This window comes from Homo sapiens, chromosome 7 (genome assembly GCF_000001405.40).
Source record: "Homo sapiens chromosome 7, GRCh38.p14 Primary Assembly".
Taxonomy (NCBI): domain Eukaryota; kingdom Metazoa; phylum Chordata; class Mammalia; order Primates; family Hominidae; genus Homo; species Homo sapiens.
In genome coordinates, this window is record NC_000007.14 from 110,768,932 (window position 1) to 110,779,168 (window position 10,237).

Genomic DNA, 10,237 nt, shown 5'->3' on the forward strand with positions numbered 1-10,237 from the left:
TGACTATTGATTGCTTACAGGGTAGAGATGGCTTAATGGAAACATGCACAGAATTAGGTGTGCTTAAATTTTTTGTTAATGAAAATAAACAGAGTATGCTGCTAAAGTCCATGTAAATGTTCTGGTACGTTTTTGCCTGATAGCACAATTTCATATATTCCTCTGGTCCAGTCTTTTGAATACATTTTCATTCTCGCAGCACATTTCTTCTGCTGCTTTTCTAAATTATTTTCTTGAATGCTAGTGCTCTTTCCTTGTTATTTTCGTTACCTGCCTAGAATTGTATTTGTTCTTTCCTGGTCACTTCTTATACTTTATGTCCAGCCTTTTTAGCTCTTAAACATCCACATTCACTTCCATGCCATTTTGCATTCATCTGGCATAACAGGAATGACCTCTTGTACAGAGAACACACATGCTGCTGCTTTATACCACCATTCATTTGCATATAAGCTTTTAATTTAGTAGTCAACTAATTCCTCATTATGCTGGGATTGATTGTCCAGTTAATAAATTATCTAGGTCTCCTCCTTCCTTTTTCTGCTGTCTTTTGGCCACAGCATTTTTGTATTCTGCTAGATAATACGCAGAGAAGAGAGGAAGTAAAATGCAAATTAATCAATTTTGATCATTTTGAGCAGCTCTCATAAGAAGATCTGATGGAAGACAAGGTTGAAATTATTGGCTCAACTGAGAATTATAAGCTGTCTATGGGTGTCATTTATCCATGCTATTCTGATCACCACTTAACATGGATAACTGGAAAGAAAACGAACGGAAGAAGAAAAAAGAAATAAAAGTTAGTGAAAAATAAAAAGAAAGAAAAGAGAGCTAAAAGTAAGATAGACGTTATATGACAATACTGCTGACCCAATAAGTGAGTGAAGTCAGCCCCGGATTTGAATCAATTTCTTCTACTGTATCTCCTGCTGGGGAAACAATCTGAATCTTGGAACAAATAACCACTCATCTGACTGACTTAGCACACCAAGGATGAAAAAACCAACGGGTTGACTATCCGAACTGTTGGGTTTCATAATGGGTCGCCCTTGTTCAAGTAGATAGAAGCCAATGAAGAGTCCCCAGTCCCTATGCATTCATACAAACAGAGATGCCCACATACATACAACAGTAACGATTATGTTACTGATTACAATGGTTTCCTGATCCCAAAGGGACTTAGAGAGTTGAATTCTTTCTTAAAATCTAGAAGATAAACCTAATAGTGCTATAAAATCTCAGGCACTTAAATAAAGCAATAGCAAACTATTTTCTGTAAAGAACTCAGGGGATGGAAGTGCTCATACTTAATTCCCTTACGACGAATGTGAAGCCATGTGCATTTATGCAGGGTCATTCCTGCATAAATTCAATCCTTCATGTGCAATGTGCCCCCCAATATAATGGCACTCATTAGTGAATTACAAACATTTCTGTGAATATATTAAAAGGTTTAAGAGAAATTAGCCTTTGTTTATAATTAGGAAACATCAGTGAAAATGTATTTTATTTCATGAACTTTTCTGAATAAATTAAAATTAACAGTGAAATGCCTTCCCCCTCCCAGTCACACTTCTTCACCTAAGTTCAGACCTTTACATTTCATGCACTGTCTTGTCCCTGTCAAAATCCTTTTGATGTGTTTCATGGCAGTTGATGTTCCTGAAGTTATTTTTATACATACAATACAGCAAACGTTCCTATTGAGCAGATCTGCATCTTCACAGGAAGGTATCGAAGACTGTACTGTGTTCTTATTTGGGCAACTATTACATTAAAGATGTACACAGAAAAGCAAGTGTTCAGTGAAAGAAGTCTTCCTGAAGGCACTGGGTCATTAGGCGGATATAGCGCTCCTGGGACGTCTGACCTTCTATGACATTCTAGGAAGACTTGGGGTTCCTGTGTAGCACATGTCACTTTATGGCAAAAGGAATATCTGTCTGGCAAAATCACCATGTAATTAACATGAACATTGCTCCCACAGAGCTGTGTTGTTCCTGGTGGGATTTACATAGCACTTGCTCTGTGGGGCCTGTGCTGTACTCACAGGGTCTATCAGGGATACTCAGAATTCACCTGCCCAAGGCCTGGGCAGGGGACTGAAATGTTGACAGGAAAAGGGGGAAGACAATGATGGCAATGTCAAGGGAAAATTAACCTTTGGAAGGTTCTGACGGGAAATATCCAGAGTCTCTTCAAAGAAGGGGTTGCTGTTTTAGTGACTTTGCAGCAGAATTATTAGAAGTTGAGGGTGAGACTAGGTCAGGAAAACCACTATGAGACTGCTGGTTTGGACGAGAATCTCACTGAGGAGGATCAAGTCACACGTTAGTGTTGATGCTGTTAGTAAGGGGGATGAGGGAGCTGCCCAGGGCCTTCTTGCTACAGGTTGATGCCTCTAATCAATAAAGCTTTGAGACATAATGAGAAAAAAACAAGGCTCATCTTAACAGGAGAAAGCAGGGCTGAACAAATGAAAAGGACCTTGGCAGTGGAGCTACTGGAGCAGGGTGGTTGAGAGCAGGGACCACCAGACTGCCTGACTCCCAGCTTTGCCACTTTCAGCTGTGTGACCTTGGGCAAGTTACTTAACCTAGCTGGGTCTCAAGTTCCTTATCGGAAAACAAGAAAAATACAATTACCTATCTATCATGCTGGCCATGAAGCTTACATGAGCTAGAATATGTTCACACATAGAATAGTACCTGATACATATTAAATGTTAACTAAACATACGAGGGTAGAGTTACTCAAAGGACTTATCGAAAAACATCAACACAAAACCCAACGAAGACTCCTATAACACAGAATATATGCCAGCTATAATTCTAATGGCTTTACACATATTACAAAGTGTAATCCTCATAAAAACCCTATGAGGTAAGTAATCTTATAACCTCCACTTTACAGATGAGTAACTTGAGACAGATAAAGGTTATACAACCTTGAAGTCTAGGATATGTACCCAGCACTTGGTTACAGAAGATGTGCTCTTAACCACTATGCCAGACTTCCTCTATGGTATTAAAGAGAACTCTTAGTCATGATCTTTTGATATCGCATCCTGGGATCGGGGCTTTCTTTGAGGTCTAACTCAAAGTAGTGAGGAAATCTAGCAGCATATGAAACCCTCCAAAAGCTGCCTGGTCTCTTGAGGGTAATTAGGCCTTAATCATCAGAGTCAAGGGGGAGAGAGTGGTTCTGGAATACTGATGTGGTAGAAAATGGAATAAATCTTCCCAATGCTCCTGAAGTATCCTTCTCACTTGAGACTTCGTGGAGTCTACACATTGAGAATGGTGATCCATGAGCTTCAGGAATTTGGAAACTGTCTATATGGCATGAGGTCCCACATCTGTGGGTAATGCCGAGTACAACCATCGGCCTTCTTGTTCTCAAGGCTCTTCTCTGCTGTCTGGTCAGGAGACTCAGCTCCTGCCTGCTGGACCCCCAAGGACAGCTTCATTACTTTAAGCAGTCACCCAATTTAACCTACGGCTGCTTTAAGAACAGCACTATCCTGCCCAGGGACTCTGTCGTATCATAGCTTACTTTTCCATAGTTTCCACACTATCATCCCTACACTGGCTATGACCAGCTTGGCTACGAGCCCCTTCAATGAGTGTGATGCTGAGGAGTGGGCAAATCCTCTCTTGAAGGGAATGATGCTTCTCTAACACCAGTGGGTACCATGGAGGAGGCTCTTGTTCAGAAATTATGGCTTTAGACAAGGCTTAACAAGGTCCACTTCTCTTCAATAGCCAGGCCCCTTGACTGCAATGAGATAGGACCAAGTTGGTCTTGACTCCCCCACTCAAGTCATTTGTAAGCACTATGCAAGCCCTGGGTGTGGAGCACTGGACAGAAAAGCTCAGACTTCCCATCTTCCCAGTATTACTGGCAGGAGGCCTTATGCCTGCATATTAAGGACCAAGTGCAGTAAATGACATGCACTCAGAACTGTGCAAAGGAACACTCCAGTTTCGAACGAGAAGTACTATCGGCCATATTCATTTCTTTTTTTTTTCCCTTTGTCCTTTCAAATGTATACTACCCTTAAAATAATTACAAACATGGATTTTTAAAAAGCAATTTAACTTTAAAGCATTGAGGAGATATATATTCCCAAGGCAATGTATAAATTCCACGTAACAAGACCTAAAAAAGGGTTCTGGTCATCTTGGAGCAACGTTTCACAAGACACTGTCAAGCAGAAAAAGTGGTATTATTAGTTTAGTCACTGTGTGCTAGAAAACCAAGGATTTTCAAGGGTGTAAACAAATGAAATGTTGAACCTTTCGATGTTTCAAGGTCTCTATACTGACAAAATGTTCACAACCCGCCTGGGGCGATAATCTTGCAACTGCTTCAAGCAAAGAGCACTAAATTTACCTCCTAATTGGCTGAGACACAGCCACAAAAAATTCAGGTGTTAGAAAACAGTAAAAATGAATCATTAGATCACTCTTATCTGAAGACAGCCTGAAACAGCATCTCAATCTAATATTATGAAATACTTCATATAGTGGGTCCTGTCTAGAACATTAAAAAATCAGTCATTACGTATCAGGTGCAGGGACAGATTAAATTTAGAACTCTGGCCAAACACCGTCTGGCAACATATGAGTATAGCTATAGGAACAATTTTCCTTGGACTGTATTTCCCAAAGAGTTATAAACACAAAAACAAAAATGCAACTACAACGAAACAACTGTGCTAAAACTTTTAAGCCACTTAACCTGTTGTTTAGAAACAGAGTTAGCAACTTGGCCATCCAAATTGAGTTCTTAGGTGAGAAAGGACAGGCAGAATTAAATCAGTCATTTCACTTGCAGGTTAATCTGTCCAGGAGGGCAATTAGGCAAGTGCTCAATGCAGTTAATAGTCTATTCTTTTTTTTTTTTTTTAGTTTCTGTACTACTATTCTTTAAACTATTTTCTGCTGGAGCTCCAAATCATGACATTGGGTAAAATAAAAAAAAAAAAATGTTTATAAGTAGCCATTTAAAAGGAAGGTAGTATTGGAAACAGACATATTTTCTTTCTGTATCTCTAGAAATCAAATTACTTTCTTTTTGTCCTTGATAACTGTTGCTGTTTAAGGTTTCTTGTATCCAACAATACTATGGGAAGGGGGAAGGCTGAAAAACTTTATAAGGGTGCCACATTAAAATATTGTATGGTATTTTATAGTTTTACCAAATTTAAAACCACCAGTCTGCATAATAGGCAGAAAATATTTTACAGAGAAGATTGTGGAATCAGTAACTGGTAAACCTTCAGTTACCTAAAACCTGTTTTTCCTGAAACAGGGAACTTGTTTGGTTTGATCATGCTCTCTGGTTGGCTAGCAATTGAAACTGTTCTTCAGTGCTGCAAACCGCATCAAGCAAGCATGGAAAAGGCAAAGTTAGTATGTAAAAATGGTACTAAGTGAATAACTCCAGCTGCTTTTCCTGGCCCCAAGGCAAATAGTCATCTATAAAAATATTACTTTAACAGTATTTTTTACTACTTTTATCCAGAAGGAAACAAAAAACCCTTCACATATTATGAAATAATATAAATCTGTTTTAAAATCTTAGGAAGTTCAATTTAAATATAGTTATGTGCCACATAATGACATTTTAGTCAATGATGGACTGCATATATGGTAGCATTTTCATTGATTATAATACCATATTTTTGCTATACCTTTTCTATGTTTAGATGCACAGGTACTTACACTTGTGTTACAAGTGCCTACGGTATTTAGAACAGTAACATGCTATACAGGTTTGTGGCCTAAGAGCAACAGGCTATACTGTATAGCCTAGGTGTATAGTAGGTATACCATCTAGGTTTGTGTACATGTGCTATATAATGTTTGCACAATGACAAAAAGGCCTAAGGACTCATTTCTCATAATGATCTCCTGCATTTAGTGATGCGTGACTGTACTTATGTGTAGAAATACACACATACACATCCTTAAATTGTAAACAAAACTCCTTAGTGTAAAAAAATAATGAACTGGTTAAATAAATCAATCCTGGCAAATCCATAGGATGGAATACCATGCAGCCAATTAAAATCACACCTTCAATGATTACTTAGTGATATAGGAAAATACTTGTAGCAAGTGAAATGGAAGATATAAAACTTTATATGCTGTTTCAATTTTGGAATAAAAATTTATGCATATAGAAAATATGGGTAGGAAATACATTACCATCCCAAGAATTTACTGACTCTTGATAATGAGATCATGCCTGTTTTCTTTTACTTTTCTGCATTTTCCAAATATTTTACGAGTGCATAATGCTTAAGTCAGCTGTGTGTGTGTGTGTGTGTGTGTGTGTGTGTGGTTCTGATCTAATACAGCTTGTATGTGTAGCTTAAAGTGTGTACATTTACAAAACATAGAACTGATAGTAAGTTGAGTCAATTGCTATGGGTAGTGTCACCCGAAACAGAAAAATTCTATTTAAATTCCAAGTAAATACTTGATAACAATTGGAAACCTAAAGAAGAGGGCATTTGTATGAAGTGTTTTCTAAACTTAAACTAGTAGAGAAAACCATGACTAGAGAGCAGCCCATGGAGGTTTTATTTTGGTATTCCAAGACACACACAAAAAATGTTGAATGTTTTAAACTTTCAAATACACACATTTGTCTTTAGTTCAAAGCCATACCTAGAGGAACCCTCAAAATACTTTTCATCTTCAAGTTTCGTTCTTTCATAATTGAAAGCTCTGAAGAATAAAAATATGTTTTGTTTTTGCTACATCTAATGTTACTCTTCTTTACTTGGAGAACAAAACATTAAATGTAGAGTAAAGTAAATGTAAAGTATGGCAACCACCAAACAGCTCTCAATTTTCTCCTCTAAAAAAAAAACATGGGAATTGTTCTTAAACAGGAAGCTGTTTCTCCTTGTTAGTATTCCATGCCCACGCATTACCCTGGTTCTGTGGAACTCCAGAGGCAACAAAGTCAACTTGCTATTTTAAAATACATGCATAAAATAAGCAAAATACACACATGTAAAAAAAAACGCATGAAAAATAACTTATTGAGGAAGGAACTTATAAACCTCAAAATATAGTTAAAACATCATACTCCTGCCAATAATAAATAATCCGTAATTTGAATAAAATAATTCATAATAAACAGTGACTGTGTATGTGTGTAAATTATCTCTAATGTACACCCTATGGATGTTTAATGAACACCAAAGTCATTAGTAATTCCCACTCCAGGGCAGTTAGCATCAGAAGATCATAATCAAGAGTCCACACTACAGAGATGGTTGTGTCATGCACTTCAAATATCACCATTATTTCTGTACAACAGGGTGAGTTAATTCGCGTAAGTAATGTTAAAAACAATCTTTGATAAAAATGAGTGGTATTTAAGAGAGGCGGTTTCCCAGAAAAATGATACAGGTATCTCTACGTTCCATGAACGAGAGTCCAGCAGCCCAATAGTCAAATAGCACACTAGGTCTCGAGTTTGCTTTAGCTGTGTGGCCCCCTTAACTGAGGACACCATCACCTGAGCAGAGCAGAAGGCTTTCTGATCCTACCACTATAATACTGTTGCATCTTCTAGGGAGTGAAGTTTTCCTTAAAGCTAATTGTTGGAGTAGCTTTTCCTTAAAGCTAATTGTTGAATTGAGTAGGAATTAACAAGTTGTTGACTAACTGCACTTGCATACTGATAAATGTATGGCAGTATTCAGATTATAACTTGTTTTCATTTTTAAAATGGGGAAGAGATCTATATCTTCCACTTATCCTCAATTTCTAGAAAGTACCAATATTTCTTTTGAAAGCCTGACGACTATAAAACTCAGCCCATGGGTCACCTTCTTGGTCAAGCTTTCTCTTTATGCCTCAAGTTGAAAAGACTACTTCTTACTTTATACCTCCCACTGTATCTGGTATTGTGTTTATTCTATCTTATTGCAGAGGGTTGATTTTTAAAAAAATGTTTGTCTTCCCCACTGATTTTGTGTTTCTTTACACATTGAAGTGTGGACTAGGGACCATGTAAACTTCATGGTAACTTCCTGCAACTTTCTAAGACAGGGTTTGTTAATATGTGTGGCTATGAATTTGACAGCAGCTCTGTGTTAAACATAAGGAAGGTGTGGGAGGATAAAAGTAGTAAGAAATTAGTATCACTAGAAATTCCTGAGAATGTCTCAAATCCTTTCCCATGGGCCTTCTTATCATTGGCACACCATTCAGGGATGCATACTTCTTAAGACTGCATTCTTGTGCAACTACCACAGGAGCCCAGCTCGGCAGGTGTGCCTGAAAATCACTTGGTTGGGCCACATCTGGAAAACACAGGCAATAACTTCATAAATATGTGAACACAACTCTTCTGAGCTATGACAACCCCACGAGCCATGTTTCCATGGGGGATAAATAGATTTGTAGCAATATTAATAAGCAAGATGTAGTCATCCGGGACAATTTGAAAGCAAACCTGCTACTAATGCATATTTCCTACAGTAATATTTTTCCCTACAACCTAGTTTTAACCTTGCTGTTCCAATAAGACCCCGTAAATCGAAGTTTCTTTAGCCCGTTAATTTAATATGAATATTCTATACCAAAGATAATATTGAGGAATACTGCTGAGAAAGCTGCAGAGCTGGAGAATGAACACTGCTTCTAGAATGTCTTATGTTATATAAGCTTCATTCTATAAATATGTTTGGCAGAAGTGTCATTCTGCATTAATTTTGCTACAATATGTGTTATTCTGAGGATCTGCAATAGTGGTGGCTTACAGATCCACTATATCAAAATTTCCATATTGACAGTTACAAGGGAGAAAATCTTAACGCCAAATAAACTGTTAAAAAAGATATAGTTTGGTGGTTACATATGCAGTCTTATTTTAAATCTAATTAATTATTTTAAGAGACTGAAAATAAGTCTTTCCTGTTCTAAAGCTTTGACTTGTTTTTCATTTATTGTTCTGTTAGTCTAAAAAGGGAAACCTAACATTTTCTAACTGATGGACAGCAGTGAATTCCTTTTTACTGAAACACCCACACTTAAAACTTCTTGGCAGTTTTTAAGGTAGTGCTGGGTTAGGAAGAAGATGAGACTATGTCAACTTTACTAAGATGAACATCTGGCTTCTAGAGCCACCAAATGAAGGCAAAAATATAGGAGCTGAAAAATATTTTGTCATACAAAAGTTTTCCAGTGAAGAAATCTAATGGACAGAGAGTCTAGAAGCTTTAAGATATTTTAAATAATTCTATTTAATACTTCTATCTAATAAGAAAAACAGACTTTAAATTTTGTGTTTTTACATATGTGACCAAATATAAAACTTAAAGAAAAGAGTGTATTAAACAAAATATAGGAAATAGAATATATCAAACAATTCAGAATTTTGTCTTCAACTTAAGGAACATGTATTTAGCATCTATGTCATTATTGGAAGAAGTGCTGGGATATAAAGATGCTGATAATCTCTTATGATGCACGTATTCATCATCGTTTACTTCTGTTGTAAGTTAGTGAATGATTTTATTCTCATTGCTGTAGCATTACTATTACCACCAGAATTTAGCTTCTTTTTCAATGTAAAAATAAACTAAAATAGAGCAAACTTATTTTTATTCCTCCATATTTCAGAAAGCTCTAGGACAGCTGCTCTTAAATTTTAGTGTATACAATAATTACTTGGACAAGAGAACCTTACTGAGAAGAATAAGGATGGAACCAAAGAAATTACATTTTAAAATAAGGTAAGCAGAGGATAGAAACACAGGTGCTTTAAGAACCATCATTTTAGATATGTGGCCCTAGAACTGTAACAGCATCTATTTTTTTTTCCAAATACTATTCAGCTATAAGTGGTGTGTTGGAAAATGTTTAACACTTTGGTTTCAGTGTGGTGAAGCTGATTTGTAGTGTCTGCCTATTTTGTGGTGCAAATTCTCTCACCATGGCCAAAATCAAGTCATCGGGTTAAAATGATTGAACATCCAGCTGGGAAGTGGTGCTCAGTGTTATACCATTTTGTCCACCATGTAGAGTAGTAAAATGCAGTAACATGAATAGAAAGCGAAGTCTTGAGGATTTATTACCTTTAATTATAAGTAACGATTTTATAAAATTTGACTTTTAATCATGGCTACATTTTAACAATCAATCAAAAAACTGAAAACTTAATAACCATCTCCCAGAAGTCAATACAAACCAGTCCCAGCACAAAC

The 10,237-nt window shown here is 36.8% G+C and overlaps 1 protein-coding gene across 12 annotated transcripts in view; it reads right to left on the reverse strand.

Annotated features, from left to right (window-relative positions):
* IMMP2L (inner mitochondrial membrane peptidase subunit 2) overlaps positions 1 to 10,237 on the reverse strand; it is an 899,849-nt gene that overhangs the window by 106,288 nt on the left and 783,324 nt on the right. The window lies entirely within an intron of this gene.